General features: G+C 49.2%; 7 annotated features.

Annotated features, from left to right (window-relative positions):
- Positions 5,908-5,957: a silencer, noted in NCBI's record as "silent region_2945". NCBI's record gives its function as "represses an Ori minimal core promoter by ATAC-STARR-seq in GM12878 lymphoblastoid cells {active_cell/tissue: GM12878}" and the evidence as "EXISTENCE:reporter gene assay evidence [ECO:0000049][PMID:35858748]".
- Positions 6,338-6,387: an enhancer, noted in NCBI's record as "active region_4218". NCBI's record gives its function as "activates an Ori minimal core promoter by ATAC-STARR-seq in GM12878 lymphoblastoid cells {active_cell/tissue: GM12878}" and the evidence as "EXISTENCE:reporter gene assay evidence [ECO:0000049][PMID:35858748]".
- Positions 13,956-14,577: an enhancer, noted in NCBI's record as "NANOG-H3K27ac-H3K4me1 hESC enhancer chr10:133509356-133509977 (GRCh37/hg19 assembly coordinates)". NCBI's record gives its function as "activates a minimal SCP1, AML or CMV promoter by ChIP-STARR-seq in naive H9 embryonic stem cells {active_cell/tissue: H9 hESC(naive)}" and the evidence as "EXISTENCE:reporter gene assay evidence [ECO:0000049][PMID:30033119]".
- Positions 14,578-15,200: an enhancer, noted in NCBI's record as "H3K27ac-H3K4me1 hESC enhancer chr10:133509978-133510600 (GRCh37/hg19 assembly coordinates)". NCBI's record gives its function as "activates a minimal SCP1, AML or CMV promoter by ChIP-STARR-seq in naive H9 embryonic stem cells {active_cell/tissue: H9 hESC(naive)}" and the evidence as "EXISTENCE:reporter gene assay evidence [ECO:0000049][PMID:30033119]".
- Positions 15,201-15,821: an enhancer, noted in NCBI's record as "H3K27ac-H3K4me1 hESC enhancer chr10:133510601-133511221 (GRCh37/hg19 assembly coordinates)". NCBI's record gives its function as "activates a minimal SCP1, AML or CMV promoter by ChIP-STARR-seq in naive H9 embryonic stem cells {active_cell/tissue: H9 hESC(naive)}" and the evidence as "EXISTENCE:reporter gene assay evidence [ECO:0000049][PMID:30033119]".
- Positions 17,641-18,438: an enhancer, noted in NCBI's record as "H3K4me1 hESC enhancer chr10:133513041-133513838 (GRCh37/hg19 assembly coordinates)". NCBI's record gives its function as "activates a minimal SCP1, AML or CMV promoter by ChIP-STARR-seq in naive H9 embryonic stem cells {active_cell/tissue: H9 hESC(naive)}" and the evidence as "EXISTENCE:reporter gene assay evidence [ECO:0000049][PMID:30033119]".
- Positions 18,439-19,235: an enhancer, noted in NCBI's record as "H3K4me1 hESC enhancer chr10:133513839-133514635 (GRCh37/hg19 assembly coordinates)". NCBI's record gives its function as "activates a minimal SCP1, AML or CMV promoter by ChIP-STARR-seq in naive H9 embryonic stem cells {active_cell/tissue: H9 hESC(naive)}" and the evidence as "EXISTENCE:reporter gene assay evidence [ECO:0000049][PMID:30033119]".

Consider the following 20,166-nt stretch of genomic DNA (forward strand, 5'->3'; position numbering starts at 1 on the left):
CCCCCTCAGACCCACAGAGCAGAGCCCAGGGCTGCACTCCCGCAGCGTGCCCTGGGGCACCAACCCATTATGTTCCAGGCACATACTCAGCATTCACCCTTCCTCTCTCTGTCTTCTAATTACCTCTGCTTTTGTCTTCCCTCCCTAGCAAACACCCACTCCTGGAAGCTAGGGCCAGGTTTGATGCTTCTTCTTCCCTCTCTCTCTCTTTCCCTCTGTCTCTCCCCTCCCTGATACCCTGCTGTTCAGCCCGTGGCCCACTGCTCTCCCCACAGTCTGTGCTCAAAACAAATGCACCAACAAGTAAAGGTGTGAATGCATGGAAATGGGCACCCCTGCCCTCCACTGTCTCCTTGGAGACCAACCAGGAGGGAACAGATGGGGCCTGAAGAGTTCTGTACTAGGCGCATGCACTAGTTTCCTGCACCGCTGTAATGAATTACCAGGAACCAGGTGGCAGAAAGCAGTGCCCATTTACTCCTGCATGTCCCTAGAGGCCAGAAGCACTAAGCCAAGTTGGCAGCAGGACCAGGCCCCGGAAGCTCCAGGAAAAGAGCCTTCCTTCCTACCCCTTCCCACTTCCAGAGGCTCCCGGTGTTCCCTGGCTTGTGGCTGCATCACTGTAGGCTCTGCCCCTGTGGTCTCAGGGGGCCCTCCTCTGCATCCATGTATCCTAGTTTCCTGAGCCCTTTCTAAACCCTCTCTCTCCCTCTGGCTGCCACAGACAGTTGCTTACAGGCTGCTGCCCCATCCTGATGGTGAACTCTTAGAGCAGGGGTGTCCAAGCTTTTGCCTTCCCTGGGCCATGTTGGAAAAAGAAGAATTGTCTTGGGCCACACATACAATATATTAACACTAACAATAGCTGATGAGAAAAAAAAAAAAAGAAGAAGAAAGAAAAGAAAGAAAGAAAAAGAAAGAAAGTCACAAAAAAACTCATAATATTTTAAGAAATTTATGAATTTGTTTTGGGCCACATTAAAAGCCATCCTGGGCCACATGCAGCCCAAGGACAATGGGTTTGACAAGCTTGTCTTCAAGGATGAGACACCCCCATGCTTTCGCCCATACCCACCCCAATTCCGAAGCCTGGCCTGAGCAAGCATGTTGAGATCAACAATCCAGAAATGCTAGGAGCTCAGCTTTTAAAAATCTGAAATTTTTAAAACTTCAAACAAACAAAACCCTCCAGACCCAGATGGTTTTGCTGGATGAGTCTACCAATTGTTTAAAGAAGAATTAACATCAATTCCACACCATCTTTTCCGGAAAATATTGGAGAATGGAACACTTCCCAAATGTTCTGTAATACCACTACCCTGATTTGTAAAAAGATGAAACAGCACCCCAAAAATTACAGATAATATCTTCATCAACTTAAACATAAAAATTGTTATCAAAATAAATTCAACAATGTGTGAAAAGGATTACGCATCATGACCAAGGGGGAATCATTTCAGGCATGCAAGGCTGGTTCAATGTTTGAAATGTAATCCACTGTGCAACAAGTCAAAGAAGAAAATTCATACGATCATTATCAATTGATGCACAAAAAACATTTGGCAAATTTAACATTCATTCATGATTTTACAAAGTTCACCAAGTTAGGGATAAGGCAGAATTAACTCAAAGAATATGAGTAAAAATAGACCTACATCTAATGTCATACTCAATGGTGAAAGACTGAAAGCCATCCTCCTAAGAGCAATAACAAAGCAAAGAGTCCCCTCACTGCTTTCATACTGTATCCCACTGGAGGTTTGAGCCACAGCAATAAGGCAAGAATGGGAGGGGCAGGCAGAGAGGGAGGAAGAAAATGAATGTTTTAAATACAGAGTAGAAAGGAAGAAATGCAGCTATCTCTCTTTGCAGATGACGTGGTTTCCATGTAGAAAACCTCAAGGAGTCTACCAAAAACAAACAAACAAAAACTCTTAGAACTGAACTGAGTTCAGTAAGGCCACGGGATACAAGATAAACATACACAAATCAATTGTATTTCTATACATAAGCAACAAATACATAAACATTGAAATTAACAGCAGTACCATTGACCATTGCTCTAAACCTGAAATCCTTAGGCGTAAATCCGTGAACTGATGTACACACTTGTCTGCTGTGATAAAAGAAAAACCTCAGCCAAATTAAATTTAAAGGAGTTTAATTGAGCTACGAATGATTTGTGGGTCGGGCAGCCCCCAGAATCCCAGCAGATTCACAGAGACTCCAATGCAGCCACATGGTGGAAGATTTATAGACCAAAAAAAAAAAAAAATAGAAAAAAAAAGGAAATGATGTACAAAAATCAGAAGTGTGAGGTACAGAACAGCTGGATTGGTTACAGCTCAGCATTTGCCTTATTTGAACACAATCTGAACACTCAGCGGTGTATGAGTGGTTGAAGTACACCTGCTGGGATTGGCCAAGACTCAGCTCATGCTGAGACTCAATATGCATTACAGGTGCATACTCCTAAGTTAGGTTTTCAGTCTTGTCTACCTATTAAGCTAGGTTGCAGTTCATCCACAAAGACTCAAATATAAAAGTACAGAGTCCTTTTCAGACCATATTTAGTTCACTTTAACAGCTGAAAACCACAAAATATGTATGGAGGAATTCAGAGTAGATCTAAACAAGTGGAGAGACATGCTATGTTTAGAGGTTGAAAGACTGCATATAGTAAACACGTCAACTCTCTCCAAACTGATAAACCAATTTAACACAAACCTCATAAAAATCACAGCAAGATTTTTTGTAGATATAAACATGTTAATTTAAGTAGATATGTATTTTAAAAAGGAACAAAAATAGCAAAAAACAATTTTGAATACAGGATGAATTGGGAGGAACCAGTCTATCCAATTTCAAGACTTACTATACAGCTACAGCCATCAAGACTTGGCAGTGTTGTCAGAGGAACAGACTAATGGAACAAAATGGAAAACTCAGAAATGGACCCACTAGTATATGTCCAACTGATTTTTGTCAAAGGCACCAAGGCAATACAACAGAGGAAAGACAGAGTCTCAACCGATGATGCTGGAGCAACTGAACACCCGCAGGCCAACACCGGAAGAGTCTCCACTGAAGTCCTGTGCTTAACACAAAATTTAACTGAAAATACCTCATGGACTTAAATGTAAAATGTAAAACCACAAAATGTTTCCAGGAAGCTTCAGAGAAAATCTTCAAGATCCAGGGCTAGACAAAGAGTTCTTAGACTTGACATTGAAATCACAATTCATAAAAGAAATCATTGATTGAATTTGACTGCTGGAAAATCAAAAGTTTTTGCTCTGAGAAAGACTCCATTAAGAGGATGAAAAGACACACTACACACTAGGAGAAAATATTTGCAAACCACATATACAACAAATGACTATTATCCAACATAGATAAAGAACTCTCAAAACTCAGCAATGTAAAAACAAATTGTTTAATGAGAAGATAGGCACCAGACATGAACAGTCTACCAAGGAAGATGGAACCCAGAGCAAGAAGCTCTGTAGCTTCTGTTTCTACAGAGCAAAAAGCTCTGTAGCGAAGAAGCACAGGAAAAGAGGATCAATATCAGTGGCTGTCAGGGACATGCAAAGTCAAAATCACAATATGGTACCAGCTATTGGAATGGCTAAGACACTATCAAATGCTGGCAGGGAGGCGGAGAGGCTGATGCCTATTGCTGGTAGTTATGTAAAATGGTAGAGCTGCTCAGAAAACAGGCAAATAAGAAATTGGAGTTTCTTACTAAACTCCAATTATCACATGGCCTAACAATTATACTGTTGGGCATTTGTCCCAGAAAAATAAAAAGTTTTGCTCACACGAAAACCTGGACATGAACCTCCACAGCACCTTTATTGGTAATAGGCAAAACCTGGAATCTGCCCAGATACCATTCACTCACGGACAAGCGGTTAAAGAAACTTGCGGTGCACACACACCTGCAAACTCCTCAGCAATAAAAACGAACCAACTCTTCCTACACAAAATTTTGGATGAATCTGAAGAAATTATGCTGAGCAACAAAAGCCAATTCAAAAACATTCATAATAATAAAGCAAACACATTGAATATCACACAGTCCCTGTGGGTCAGGAGTCCCTGTTCGAGCTACCTCGGTCCTCTTCTCAGGGCCTCGCCAGGCTGAGGCTTGTGGGGAGGGGACTGATTGCTGTGTTCCTGCTCTTAGGAGGGACACGTTTGGTCTTTCACCACTGACCAGGGTGTCAGATGTGCCTGCTGGGCAGCCCTCTCATCTAAGGCTCAGGGGTCTTCTAAGATAATTCAGGTTGTTGACATAATTCCATTTCCAGTGACCACCACTCTCTTGGTGGTTGTGTTCTGGGGCCATGCTCAGCTCTTGGAGTTTTTGCCCTGTGCCCCCCACCAGGGACAGTTCCCAACATATGGCTGACACGTTTTTAAAAGACCAGCTGGAAAACTTTAGCTTTAAGGGCTCACTTGGTTAGATGAGTCCTACAAGGATAATCTCCCTTTTGATTAACTAAAAGCCAACGGATTAGAAACCTTAATCACATCTGCAAGATCCCATCTTCTTTTCCACTGAACATCACCTAATCATGAGAATGCCATTCTGTCATATTCACAGGGTCTCCCACTCTCAAGGGGAGGGGTTTTCAAAGCATCCGCCCTGGGGTGGAACCGGGGAGAATCCCCGGGCCACCTTGGGCCCCCGCCACCGCATGTGTGTCTGTATGAATGCACACCGGGCTCTCCCTCCAACTTTGCTTTTCACATGGTCTTTCTCCTCTGAGAAACATGCCTCCTACAGCCCTCAGAGTGCAGCAGCACAGGAAGCAGATGCCCAGTGGCAGAGACAGGCACTGAGATCTCCAAACTCAGCCTCATTAGCACCAAACTGATGAAAACTGTTAACAGAGACCTTTCAGAGCTTGAAAGGCAGATCTCAGAGTCTCGTGAGACTTTTCAAAATGGTCTCTGGCAAGAAGGGAAACAGAGACCCTCACCCCTTGAGGGCCAGAAGCCCCTCTTGACTGGCCCCCTGGGAATGCTTCGTCTTTGAGGGTTCAAGGCTGATGTTTGCACATCGTCTGGGGACCCACAGGGCACTGCCTCCCTTGCACAGCCTGACCTCAAGCTGAGAACACTGGAAGTGTTTTTCAGAAAAGACTGCAGCCAAGAGGCCACTGCCAGGAGTTGCTGGTCCTGGTTCCCTGGGAAGGGATGTGGCCTTTTCTTCCTAGGAACAGAGATGGGCCAGGGATCCAACTTCCCCACTGATGATCTGAGCCAAACACAGTGGACTTCCCACTTAGAAGGACACATCAAGAGTCCGGGCACAGTGGCTCACACCTGTAATCCCAGCATTTTGGGAGGCTGAGGCGGGCGGATCACCTCAGGTCAAGAGTTTGAGACCAACCTGACCAATATGGAGAAACCCCGTCTCTATGAAAAATACAAAATTAGCCGGGCATGGTGGTGCATGCCTGTAATCCCAGCTACTTGGGAGGCTGAGGCAGGAGAATCATTTGAACCCTGGAGGCGGATGTTGCAGTGAGCTGAGATCGTGCCATTATACTCCAGCCTGGGCAACAAGAGCAAAACTCTGTCAAAAAAAAAAAAAATGACACAGCAGGGACCCTTGGGAACCCTCTTCCTCTCCCATGATTTCCTCATGGCTAAAATGAGATGTTGAGCCAGATGAGCCCTGGGACCTCTTTCCTAGCCCTGGAACCGAAACCTGAAATCCCAATCTGCTGAGAAGCTAGGGGGCTCCTGACAGCTCTTTGCTGGCCATCGGCTCATGGCATCAAGACACTGGCAGGTCATCGTGTTTGGCTTCCAGAGTTCACTTAATCAAAGAGCTCTTGGAGATCACCCCTTTCTCCTCACTGATAAATCACTCCTCTATGAAGACATTAAGCAAGAAAACATCCACCATTTAGAGATCAATGAAAGTCGAACAGGGTCTGAGATGAGGCTCAGGGACTTTCCCTGAAGACCCAGTGGCCGCAGCACAGGGGACCACAGGAGCTTCGTGCCATTCTGTGAAAGACACAGACCACGCTTCCATGTAAGCAAATTGCTTCTTTAAAAGCTTGCTAATCAGACAGAAGCTGTGGGTTTATCTCTTTGATGCTCTTTGAAACCGAATTTGAAACTGAGATGCACATTCATCCATGTCAACAAACGTGTTTACCCGCCTGGGCTGCTTTTTGCTCTAGGAAATAAAAATCCTTCATGTTGTGTCCTAGTTGCTGTTGGTGGTTGCATTAGTCAGCTCGGACTACCACCAAAATACGATAGACTAGAGGCTTAAATGACAGAAGTTTATTTCTCACAGTTCTGGAAGAGGCAGGTTCTACTCTTGGTTGCAGGCAGCCACCTTCTCACCATGTGCTCCCAGACCTTGCTCTGTGTGCATGAGGGAGGCAAGGGAGAGAGAGGGAGAGCAAGGCGGGGGGTGGAGAAAGAGAGAGAGGGGGGAGAGAAAAAGAGACAGAGAATGCTTTGGTGTCTCTTTTCATAAGAAGCCCAGTCCCATGGTTAGGGCCCCTCCCTCATGAGCTCATCTAACCCCAATCACCTCCCAAAGGCCCCATCTCCAAATACCATCACACTGGGGATCAGGGATTCAATATGTGTTTTGTGGGACACATTTATTCCATAACAGTGATGGTGGCTGTTGGTGCTTTGTTTTGCTTTTCCTATGAGAAGATAAAATTCAGTGGAAACTTGGGAAGGCAGGAAACTTGTCTGTCTTGTTTACCTCTTGCTTGATACCTATCTGGTCCTACAATAGCACCTGGTCCATAGCAGGTATTTGATAAGTATGTGAAGGAAATCAAGGAGTGCATGATTGGATGGATGGATGGATGGATGGATGGATGGATGGATGGATGGATGGATTGACGGATGGCTGGATGATGGGATGGGTGAGTGAATGGATGAGTGGATGGATGCATGATGGATGGATGGAAGGATGGATGGATGGATGGATAGGTGATGGGATGGGTGAGTGAATGGATGGATGGAAGGAAGGATGGATGGATGGATGGATGGATGGATGGATGAATGGATGAATGATGGGATGGGTGAGTGAATGGATGAGTGGATGGATGGATGGATGGATGGATGGACAGATGAAAGTTCTCATCTCCATCTTAATGTAGAATGTGATGCTTTTTGCCTAATAACCAGGCAGGCCTTGACAGCTTCTCTAAATTCTCACCTTCCTTCACCCAGGAACCTGAAGCACGACTATGGATTTGGTGTTTGGTTTTTCCCCTAAGACTGTGCAAATTGTGGCCTCCCTCTGGGCCTCAGCCTCTTCCTCATTATCTGGGAGCGAGTGAGCTGCCCTTACAGGATGCCCAGTGTGGTGGCTGCTGCTCTCTGTGAGCCTGCCGCAAACAGCTCAGCCAGGTAGTGCTGAGCCAGCACACTCAGTGCTGACTCCACAGGCTTCCTGAGGGACCACATCAGAGCTCACGACTGCCCTCTGCTTTGCAAGCTCATTCCCAGGCACCACAGCCCCCCACCCCATTCTCCCCTGAGATGTGGCACACAGCAGAGCTGTGCCTTCTGACCTTGAGGGAAGCGAGTTTGCTCCCTCTAACCCCACCTTGGGGATGGGGACGAGGCCTAGAAGCTGATGATCAGCAGCCCCCACCCAAGGAACCCAGGAAGCACCGCAGGAGGACACCATGGGTTTATGAGCTCATGAGGTACATGGGTTTATGAGCTCATCAGGTGAACATTTTAGGGCCACTGAAGCTCCACTCTCCACTCTGCTCTGTGACTGCAGGGAGGCAAATCCAGGTGGAGGTCATGCTTCTAATCCTCCCTGTCGATGCTTACAGCCTCCTGGGCAGCACAGTCCCAGCAGCAGAGCCAGAGGACTCCCTATATAGGTCATGGCACCATCCCCCAAAACTTAACTTAGCGTCTTCCTTGCCAGGCTGGCCAGATCCTCCAATGAAGCCCTTCGTGTTACTGGAGTGAATCTAATCTCCTCCTTTAAGAGGACTTGTTTGCTGAAGAAGGGAAAAGGGGCAGAGAGTTTGCAGGCACACATTCTGCTGTTTGGCACACAGCTGGGAATTGAGCTGAGGCACCCATGGGGGAGGGAAGGGGCTGCATGGAAATGGGAGGATCTGCTCTTCCTCAGTCCCTGCCTTGGGCTGGGGTTGCTTTTAAACAAGCACCCACATGTCTATCATGTACTTCTACACATGTGCACACACAGACACACACATGCATACTCACTGCTACTACGGGCCAGGTCATGGTTAGCTGTGTGGTCCCAGGATGACAAGTTCTGGCTCCCATTCTCCAAGAGCATCACCACCCAACAAGGGAAGCAGATAGGCAAATGGCCACATGCAACGTGGTCTGTGCAGAGAATCACAGCCCAGAGCCGAGAGAGGCAGAGTGGAGGCAGGTCCCCTTCACACTGTATTCTTGTTCTTTAAGATGAGTAAATGGACTGACAAGACAGGCCTAAAAAGAAAGTTATTTTAAGGATAAACTAAATAACAAAAACCTTATACCCACTTGGCTTCTTATACATTCATGAAGGGTTAAGTGCTGTGGGAATTGGTCTCCTCATGAAATAAACAAAATATATGAAATAGCTGTTTTCAAATATTAGACAACAGGTAGCAGGTAACTGTGATTCAGGAGAGTGGAGAAACCAAAGAGCTGAGCCCTCCCTTTTTCCAGCTTGCAGCCTAGAGGCAGTTCCCAGAAACTAGTGGAGGGACAGGCCCAGCTCCAAGCCCATGCTTTTCTCTGGAAGAGGCCAAGGCAATGAGGGTGTGCAGGGTAGGATGCCAGAGAGGGGAGAAGTCTGCAGAGAGGGGTCTGGAGAACCTCAGGGGGCCCCATGAGTCCTTGGCTGTGGAGTGAACTGCAATGCATGGGTCAGGCTCAATAAGGCCGCAGAAAGACCCCCTACAAAGTGGCAGGTCCAATGACACTCAGGGCCCACACAGAGAGAGCACTCAGTACTTCCATCAGAGAGAATGGAGAGACCTCATGAGACATGGGGTGTTGGGTACAATCCTAAGAAGGGTCAGACCTTAGAAATGGGGCTAAATTCATCCTAGAAGGGCTACACTAACAAATCCTAGGTGCCTGCCTCAAGGAGGCCGAATGGTTCAATAAGTAATTGCAGTCCAGAGCAAAGTCCTACACTCTTTAAAGGAATCCAACAGAATCAGCACTCAAAGATGAAAAACAATGTTTAGCACCCAATCAAAAATCACCAGCCATGTGAAGTAACAGGAAAATATGACCCATAACTAGGAGAAAAATAAAACAATAGAAGCAGATCCCAAAATTACAAGAGTGATAAAAATAGCCATTTAGGATCTGAAAAGAGCAATGATAAATATTACAAATATGTCTGAGGATATAAATGAAAGTGTGAACATAATGAGGAGGTAAATGGAACATATGAAGTGGAAATTTCAAAAAAAATCTGACATAAAATACATAATAAGTGGGATTAATAACAAACTAGATATGGCAGATGAAAAGATCATGAGGAAAATGCAATTAAAACGATCTACAATGAATCGCAGAGAGAAAATAGACATAAGAAAACGAAAAAAATTAAAAAGAGGTTGAGTGTATCGAGTACACAGATACTTGAAGTCACAGAGAGGACATAAAATGTATTTGAAGAAATAATGGCCAAAAGTTTTCCCAAATTAAAATTTAAAATACAAACACAGATGTAAGAATCTCAACAAACCCCAAGCAGAATAAGCACGAGGAATAGCATACCATGGTTAATCACAATCACAATTATATATTCTCTAATTAACATGGACTTAAACTAGACATCACTCACGACGCTGCCTCTTCCTAGCAGAGCAGTTTCCAAAGTGGTGCCTGGGCCCCTCAGTTGGTCTGGAAGCTGGAGCTCTGATGGGTCTGCGCTGTGGTGGGAAGAAGGAACTCCCAGCCTTTCTGTGAGGTGGGGTCTATTCTGCAGCCCCCACCAACACACTCTGCAAAACACTGGCTGCCCTAGAGCCCCTCACCCCATATCAACCCACATCTTGGAGAGGCCTTTGCACAGTGCCCAGCTCTCCCTCACCTCTGTCCCCCACTCCCTTACACCCCCATGCTTTGTGGCGGGCCTGCATGGAATTTCTCTCTCCCCTCTCAAGAATTGTTTCCCAGAAAGAGCCAACATCATGAAGCTCTGTTACTAAGAGCATCTCTTCTCAACCTGAGAAAGAATTTGAATCCATAAGACCACCTGGCAACATCCAGTGCAACACCATTGGGCTGGCTAGGGGTGAAGGCAGAGAGGGTTCAAGCATCAGGTGTGGTAAACAGAAGATCCCCAAACACTCTGTTGCCAACCGCCTGTTGACTGGGCATCCCACCTTGCATGGTCCTGGAGAGTTCCACATCACTGCTTGAGCCCCTCCCTCTCTCCCCTCTCTAAGTTGGGTGCTGAGGGGAGCACCCCTGACCCCGAGCTCTGCTTGCCCAGGTCACCACTGTCCACATTTCTGCAGGTACATTCCGGGCAGCAGAAGAGCTGCTGTCCATAGCTGATGGATGGACGGCCGGGCGTGGAGGGTAGGGGTTCCTCTAGGGGCACAAAATGAGAGGAAAGGCCAAGGCTGTTGAGGTGGTGAGGGAAGTACTGGCCAGACTGAGGTCTCCAAAACTTAGACCCCTCCCAAAGGGACGTGGGTTCCATTGTCACAGCTCCAATCACAGACAAGCATGTTGGCCAAGATTATGGACATTTGTGTTTTCTCAGCTATTAAATCGGGGGTTGAATCCAATGATGTCTAAGCCTCTTATGCTTCAGACATGTATTTCTAATTCATGGTGTAAGGTTAGGGGTTGTATCAGTCAGGGAAAACTGGGTTATGCTGCCTTGACAAGCATCTCCCTGAATCCTAGGGGCTTAAAACAAAGAAAGGCTTACTTCTCAATCATGCGAAAGCCACTGCTGGGGCCTAGGGCCCTGCTGATTCTCATCCCCACTGGGGTCCCACCCTGAGGAAGGCACCATCCTCACAACTTCATCCCTGCTGAGCTGTGGGAAGAGGAAGTAGCAAGTCAGAAACTAGCTCTTCAAGTTTCCACCAGGTCACTTCTCACCAATTTCATTGGCAAAGCAAGTCACGTGGTCACCCCTCACATTTTCAGGGACAGGGAATGTCATGCTGCCGTGGCCTGGAGGTGCGGTGCCAGCAAGAGTTGGTGAGCCGCACCGATGCCCACCCAGGGATCCCCCTGTGGAGACAGTGACCTAGGCTTTGTCCTGGCTCCACCACACATGAGCTGCAGCTTTGGGTGCCCGTCTCCCCGCTCTGTGGCCCCTCGTCACAGATCAACAAGGGAGTGCATGGAGCATGCCTGGCACAGAGGACAAGCCTAGTGAGGCTGCCTGCTGTCACCGGTTCTCCCTCCTGAAGGCCCCCCAAGCCTGCACAGCTCCTAACCTCCTCTGTCCCAGCTTTCTTCACTGACCAATTATTCAGGAAAAAAAATGCAAGTTATATCTCTAATATCTGAATGCTGCATATTCTGAGAACTAGTTTCTCCCAAACAATGTCATCTTCCTCAACCAAGAATTCAGTTTCTGTGGCCACCCCTTTCCTCTCCTGCTTCCTAAGTCAAGTGCCTCCCAGCCCCCTGCCACATCATGCCTGTGCCTCGGTGGGGCTTCTCTGCCAACTAGGCTGAGCTCTCTAGGTCAGTGAGCCAATCTAGCTTTTAAATAATATAGCATATTCCTTCTAAATATTTTAAAGCAATTGGAGAGTTAGAGCGAGTGAGAGGGAGGAGGCATGGAAAGAAGGTCAAGGGCTGTGCCTTGCCGCCTCACGCTCATGTGCAGGACTAGACTAGCATTTAGCAGGCACCAGGAAAAGTGCTCCCTGGAAGCCCCAAAACTGCCACTACAGCTGCCAGCACCTTCTCTATTTAAAGAAGCACAAGGCAGTCTCCTTCCGCACCTCCGCATCTGACGTCTTTCCCCTTTAAGAGATCCTGCAAGTGGGTCCCAACATTTATAAATATTCAAGGCTTTTCTCATTCCTTGACATTTCAAAATGGACTCAAAAGCGATTATTTCACACAGTAAATTCAGGCAATAGGACAGCGTCAAGAGGGACCAGCCACTCGCCCCACTGTCCCCACCTAAGCGGCAGGAGTTGGGGAAGACAGTACGGGCACAGCTAGAAGGCCAGGTCCCCAAGGGCAGCAGCCAGGGCAGCCAGGGGCCACCGGGAGAGAAGGAATCATGCCGGCGTCCCCAGCTCATGGGGCGTGACGGCCACCAGGCAGCCACAGGACTGCCTATGCTCAGGCCTGGGGACACCAAAGCCAGAAGTCAACCCTGTCATCTTGTGCGCGAGGGCTTTTCAGATGCACATTTACGTATCAGCTCACAAATTTCACATCTTTCTGATTTCAGATAAAAATGACTGCAGGTATTGCAAGCTTTTTAAAAATCCTTTACCTGAAAGCAGTGATTTATATACAATTTTCTTTTTTTCTTAAAGAGAAAGACACGATGCCTGTCACCACAGTCGTGGATGGCTGAACTGAAACTCAGGAAACCTGGTTTTCCGAGCTTTGGCTGTGGTGTCCTGAGGAAATCGGTCCACCTCCGTGCCACACTGTGCCGGCTGAGACCAGATGAGAAAGGGGAGGTGGAGAAATGGAGGGGCTTTGAAAAGTATCCGAAGAAATGTAAAATATTGAAAAGATTCCCGTGAGGCCCATTTTTACATTCAAGTTTTCACTGCGGTTTAAAAGAACGTATGTTGTGTGTTGCAGAGGCCTTTAAAAAATAGCTTTTAGAAAAACAGCAGACACGTCCCACTCTACCAAGAATGTGCGCGGCCCTAGAGCTGAGCTATCAAGGACCACAGAGGACGGAGCCCTCTCGTTGTGAAGATCCTAGAGCTGAGCTATCAAGGATCACGGAGGATGGAGCCCTCGCGTTGTGAAGACCGGGGCAGGAGCAGCTCCTGTTGGGTATTGGATGACGAGTTCTTCTCATAAGGATTCCGTGATTTCAGAACGTTCCTACTGTTTTCACGCAGCCAAACACGCCCTCTCCTTCTTTGCTCCCTTGGACTCGGGCTCACCGTGGGGCATCCGCAGTCACCGCCACGTCGGACTCCGTGGGGGCTTCCCTGACCACGTGGCACCTGTCCGTTCTCCTCTGGAAGCTGTTCAGTCCAGCCCAGGCTGTGTCTCAGCCATCCCCAGTCCGGAGAGCTCTGTGGCTAAACAAAGATATTAAGTCATTAAAATGCAATAACCGAACTTCAAGAATCATTTAGCTCATTCTATGACTGGAGGTCTCCCAGGCAGCAACCGCAGCCCACGAAGCCCTCAGCGGGTGCCTCTGCCATCTCGGCATCTCCACCCTGGGCTCTCCATGCCCTTGTGGCGTCTCCACCCCATGCTTCCCTCTCCCTTCCCAGCACGCCAGAAAAACAAGTGTGAGAAGGAGGATGTGAATTATGGTCACGTGAATAAGGGGATTTATTAATGATGCCAGCAGGTTTGGGAGGTGGCTAAAATAGCTCCAAAGCCCAAATAGGTTGGTGCGAAAGTAATTGTGGTTTTGCCATTGAAAGTAACGTCAAAAACCGCAATTACATTTGCACCAACCTAATAGGTTTAAAAGAACAAAGCAATTAGGCGCACAAGTCATTTAATTTTCTAGCTGTTGCTCCAGATGTCAGAAGGAAAGCACCTGCAGCCACACCAAAGGGGACCCTGGATCAAGTGCCTAGCTGGTTCCAGTCGAAAGGCAACTGTTTCAAATGTCTTCTCTCTAAAGTAAAGATGGTGCGATACTTCCATCTGCAACATAAACGCAAGATATTGATACTGCCCGGGAACTGCCAGGAGGAATGTGGAAGTGGCCCCGGGAGACGGTCTGAGGACCCCCTCCCCCCGGCCCCGCCCCAGGCCTCTGTTTTCTAATCAAAGGCTCAGCATGGGTCTCCTTCCGCATTGTCTGCCTGCAAATGCAGGCTCTGCCGATGGCCTCCCTGTGGTTGCGAATGTGTTTCCAAGCTAGAATGTGGAAGAGGGAGGAGCCCCCCGCCTGCATGTCTGGGCTGCAATTCCCCCGTTTTTGAGAGCAGCCTGGGCTCCCAGAGCTAACCCGGGGGCATCTGAAGGCAACCAGGGAGGGGCCCAGGTTCCCAGCAGGACTGTGCTCACTCAGTGGCATAGACACAGCTTCCCCAGGTGGACGGTTTTGTTTTGTTTTGTTTTGTTTTTTTCTGAGACGGAGTTTCGCTCTTATTGCCCAGGCTGGAGTGTAATGGTGCAATCGCGGCTCACCACAACCTCTGCCTCCCAGGTTCAAGCGATTCTGCTGCCTCAGCCTCCCGAGTAGCTGGGATTACAGGCACGCGGCCACCACACCCAGCTAATTTTTTGTATTTTTAGTAGTGACGGGGTTTCTCCATGTTGGTCAGGCTGGTCTCGAACTCCCGACCTCAGGTGATCTACGCGCCTCAGCCGGGGAAGGTTTTAATTCCAGATGCAAGGAAAGACCTGGAGTCCTTCCAAAACCCTGGGCCTCTGACTTCCGGCTGGAGAGGCTCTGGTCCCCACCACACATCCCGCCCACCTGCAGGACTGGCCTTGTTTTAAGGAGCCCAGAGCCAACATGGAATCAGAGGAGTGTCAAATCAGGAAGCACAGCCTGCTGTCTCAGGTCTCTCATCCTCTGTGCCTGACTCCTCCCCTCAGCTCCGAGGCTCCGGGTCCACCTATTCAAAAGTCAGCCTTAGGGTGTCCGAGTCAGACATTGGTTCTAGTCTGGGCCTCTAGTTAATTGCTGTGTGACCTTGGGCACTGACTCAGCCCTGACAATCTAATGACTCCCTGAGGCTGGGGCATGGAGGAGCCGATGGCCTAGTGTTTGCAGGAAGGCATTTGCCGAGCCCACTCTGCATAGTGGGGCTTGGAAGCTAAAACGCTTCGAGAAACATCCACCTCAGGAAGGGTCACCCAGAAGCTAACCTGAAGACAAGGAGTTGAGGGCATGTGAGTAACCTGGGAGGGGGTCTGTCAGGATCCCCCGGGAGAGTGGCGCAGTGAGACAGGGTGAGGAAGGGAGTCCACGGAGGGGCTCTGAGTGGGGCCACGGGGTTGCAGTGCACTGGGGACCCTGAGACCAGGCAGAGCGCTCCTCGGAGCCACCCGCCCCAGCGTCTGTGAGGCTGCTCCCTGGGGTGTCAGCTCTCCAGCCCCTCTGGCCTGCTCCAGCATCGGCGCGGCTCCCTGGTAGATGGCGCCCCCCGCACAGGCCGCCGTGGGCAGTGGTTGGGTGTGGGTGGGGAATGGCCGCCGGGACACAGTTCAGGGCACAGCCCAGCCTGACACAGGCTTGGAGGTCTAAACTCAGGCCACTGGAGGGCTTGAAGCGGGAGGCAGAGGGTACGGTGTGGCTGCCAGCAGGAGCACTTAGGAGGCAGGAGCACTCGGGAGGTAGGAGCACTTGGGAGGCAGAAGCCATCTTGCCTTTGGTGGGAACTCACTGGCAGGTGCTGTTGGAATCAGGTCTGTGTTTGTTTGTGGCTTCCACTGGCAGCAGCTACTGAGATGGTCCAATTGCCCCTCACCAAAGCTCCCATGTGTGGGGGCTCGGGTGAGGGGTGGGATGGCCCTTTGGGCTGGGATGAAGCCTCTCCAGCCCAGCAGCAGGAAACCTGAACCGAGAGAGTTGCCCCCAGAGACGGAGAAGCCTGTTGGCTGCAGAGTCCAGGAGAATGAGCGGCATGGGGGCATTCTCCCTGCCGTGTCCCTCGGCTCCAGGCAGTCACCACAGTTGGGTCCTGTCCATTTTCTAGTTGCCTATTGCCACTAGAGGAAAATGCCCTATTTTAAGCACAATCTGGCCAACTTCCTGAACTTTGTTGAGGAGGGTGGCTCCAGTCGATTTTCACTTAATCCTCCTGAGCTTCCCTGGGTATCCAATTGCTGGCAAATGTGACGGTTTTCTCCCATCCAGTACGAGTTGTTTTTCTGTTTCCTGCTTTATCACATTGTCCATTATGTACATCATAAAGTTAGTCTGATGACAACTAATTTTCAATTTTCGAGCAACTGTGGGGAGGATGGATTTGAGAAGAGAGAAGTTGAAAGCAGACTGAACAGCCTCAAAGATTTGCCATAGATTAGGAGAGGCAGGCTGGGAACAGAGTGGAAGTGAGAGGGGGAGCATGGACACGTCTGAGCAGGGTTTAGACTCAGCCCTGCATGGACTCGGGCAGGCAACAAAAGCTCCTCTAGGTTCCAGACTCAAAGCACAGGATCCAATAGGCATGAACCAGGAAAGGGCACCATATTACAATCGCTGCTACACTGTGGTCATTTACTCAAGCAAACAATGGGACAGACGAGATTAATTAGAAGTCCTGATTTCAATGAGTTCTCCAAGAATATGGACTCACATTAAATTAACAGCTGCTTTAATTTTCTCCCATACCTCCATGGTCTGACTCTTAATGAAGCTACATCCAAACCCTCTTATGATACTTGAGTTACAAGATGGTATTGCAGTTGACATGGCAACTCTGCACACACTGTCTTACTTCAAGCCAGAGCCCCACTATCTGCACAACTTTCTCCCATGACCAAAACATCCCCGTACTGTCCAGAGTGGTCACCCAAGTCAGGCATGGCTCTGCGGCCAGGACACAGAGAAACCAAATTTGCAATTTGATTTGATGTAAATGAAATCTGCCTTACTTAATAGCAAGATTTAGGATGTGAAGAATGGGACTCTGCATTTTGGCAAGATGCCCAGGTACCTTGGTTGCAAGTGAAAGGTTGAGGGGCTCTGCTCTTCTTAGGCGATTGCAGGGGCTTCTGGCATGTGCTGCATCTGCAGGCCTCAGAGCACCTCCTCCCCGTTTTCTCACCTGATGGTCACGCCACAGGCTCTTTCCAAGATGCTGTCAGCAGACCTGAGGTGCTCCTGCATGTCACCTGTCTTTGCATATGGGACTGTATCTGTTGCCTCCGCCTTCCCAGCCTGGCCCACCTATAAAAGGCCTCTGATGTGTCTTTACACACTTTGTGCAGGTATGGACTGGCCTTGGCCCTCCCTCTGAAGGCACAAAGCTTAGCACAGACATGGAGACAGGAGGACTCTGCCGGGTGAAGCAGCAAGCCAGCAGATCACGTAGACTCGGTTCTGCAGCTGCTTGGGGTCTTTCTGGAAATCCACCAAGCAAGCCTCAAAGACAAAGACAAGGCTCGACCCACAGCCCAGTGCTCCTTTCTTTAAAAAAATAAAATGAAATCAGATGATTCCTCCTCTGAGTGGACTTCACTCCCTACTTTCTTCACTCAGAGTGAAGGGAAGCCATGGAGACCTTGCTCTGCCTCCTTTTAACCCCAAAGGAAAAGGCCACCCACACTGCTGTGGGTGAGTGGACATTCGAGTGCCATGTCTAGTTGGCTTTCTTTACTGCTTTTAGCTTTCAGGGTCATTTGGAAGGAGCAGCCTCCTGTAACACCCTCTGGGACTGTGCGGATTTCATGAGAAAACTTCTGCTCATGAAACTCTCCAGGTGCGAAAATGTCCCCCTGAAGCCAGTGGCTCAAACAAAACCCAACTCAGATCACAGATTCACAGTTATGGGCAGAAACACAAAACCCAACTCAGATCACGGATTCACGGTTTTGGTCAGAAACACAAAACCTAACTCAGATCATGGATTCACAGTTATGGGCAGAAACGAGGGTTTTTTTCTCTACCCATAGAACACTTGATTCAAGTCACCCCATTTTAAGTGACTCATCGGCGAGGAAACATCTCATTGAGGACAGGCTGCCTGGCTCTGTGTGGAGCTGATATTCCCAGCCCCAACCCTGAGCATCCTATCAGGGGAAGGAAGGAATGTGGTGGGCTCGTGCAGCAGGCCTGGACCTCCTGCCTCTGTGTCCCTTGCTGGAGGAGGCTGAATGTGTGCGGTAGCCCTGCTTTGTGGTCATTCAGCACAGTTGGACCCAAGCAGAGTTTGAGGGTACATGGAGGAAGCCTTAGTGTCCAGGGGCGTGGCTCAGAGCTCAGATGGCCAGCGCTCCCTGCATGCCCTGCCCAGCCCACACCCCAGCATAATCCCTCGGGGGAGGTCTCCTGCAGAAGTGGAGGTGGAGCTGGTGTGGGTCCTGCTGAGACTCCCCTGCAGCTCACACCCCCCACCCACTTAGTGCAGAGCCTCCCTCTCCTTCCTCCCTTGGAGCAGGCAGTGTCTGCCTGGCCCTTTCGGGGGAGTCTGCCACGCAGCTGAGCTTGCTGCAAATCCTCCTCCACCTGTCTGTCTTGAACAATCGCTCCAACCACTGACGCCTGGGGCCTGGGGAAGGTGGGGACTGAAAACCCAGGTTCCCTCTTCCCTCCTCCAGGAACAGCCATGGTGGCTCTGAGTTCTACTGAATGAACCTGTGACCTCTTCCTTCCCTGAAGGATCAACTGGATGTTCAATTAGAGACTACTAGTTTAGAGTAAAGCAGGCTATACAGCTAATTTGGGACAGTTCGAATAGGCTGTTATGGCACAGAGACAAACAATGCCCCACATCTGGGGAATGAAATCAGCAGGTGTGTGCCGAGCTCGTTCTGGGAGGGTCTGGGCTTTGCTCCATGTCACTGTCCTGACTCCAGAACCGGAAAGACCCAGCAGCCTCTGTCTGAAACCGCCCATCACTGTGGCAGAGGGAGGCACTGCCCCCAGTGCCACACAGAATTAGAACCCAGTGCCTTTGCTCACCCTCAACGGCCAAAGCAAGATGCAGGGCTACTCCGGGCCTCCGTGGGCGGGAAGGACTCTGCTGTGGGGCTCACATTTGCAGACAGGCCTTGCGTCGCCTGCAAGATATTGAGGGCTGCCAGGCACAGTCTTTCACGCCTGTAATCCCAGCACTTTGGGAGGCTGAAGCAGGTGGATCGCCTGAGGTCAGGAGTTCAAAACCAGCCTGGTCAACATGGCAAAACCCCATCTCTACTAAAAGTACAAAAATCAGCCAGCCATGGTGACACACACCTGTAATCCCAGCTACCTGGGAGGCTGAGGAACAAGAACTTCTTAAACCCAGGAAACAGGTTGCAGTGAGCCGAGATTGAGCCGCTGCATTCCAGCCTGGGCGATAGAGTGAGACTCTGTCTCAAAAATAATAATAAAAAGTAAATTAAAAAAAATAAAGATATTGAGGCCAGCATGTGAAGTTCCTTCTAGAAGTAAGATGGAGAAGCCAGGCTCACCATGGAAGCCCAGCGGCTCTGCCTTCCTTGTGAATGGCCAGTGTGGGCCACTCCTTCTAGAAATAAGGTGGAGGAAAGGGGAAAGAGTTTGGCCAAGGATTTATCTGCCTCTGCAGGAGCCGTGGTTGTAGCAGTGATCCATGCACATGGCGGGGTAGCCGGTGCTGGGGAACGGGGGCCCAGCCAAAACTGTACACACTTAAACCGTCAATCCAACCAAGCAGAACAGTATTTTTGTTTCTTTATGCAAATGGATTATCCACGACACCCATGACCTAGACGTGTGTTGTTATTACACAAAAGAGATTACCTGCCTTCTGCCTGCCCAGAAGAGAGGTCCCCGTGGGCAGAGCTAGAGAGCAACGCGGGAGTCAGTAAGCCCCGCAGGAGAGTGATGTGCTGGGGACACTCGGAGGGGAGAAACCCCCCGGGCACTCAGGAAATCCGGGAGGAAGGACGCATCTCCCAGGAAGGAGAGTGTGGCCTGGAGGCGGTCATATGAAAGGACAGAGAAGCAGAGGGTGGGGGCGGATTCAAGGGGCTGTTGCAGAATCATGGTGGAGGGCAGGTGTGAGCGATGGTTTCCGCCATAAACAGTGGCCTCATGGACAGAGATGGGCAAGTCGATGTCAGAGGCCCAGGGCGAAGCCTTATGGGGATAAGAATGGTGTCTGTTTCGTAGGGATTGTGAGGTTTAATAAGTCACACCTGCAAGGGTCTTGCACGGTGCCTGGCCCACAGTGAGCAATCAATAAATGTGAGGTGCTGTGACTGTCTCCAGCCACTCAAGGCTTCCTTTTTGTTTTCTAAGCAAGTACTGTGGTGGAAAGCACGATTTCACTAAGGTTTGAGTAGAAAACGTGGACTGATCAACAGTAAGCAAATGTATTC

This window comes from Homo sapiens, chromosome 10 (assembly GCF_000001405.40).
Source record: "Homo sapiens chromosome 10, GRCh38.p14 Primary Assembly".
NCBI classification, from domain to species: domain Eukaryota; kingdom Metazoa; phylum Chordata; class Mammalia; order Primates; family Hominidae; genus Homo; species Homo sapiens.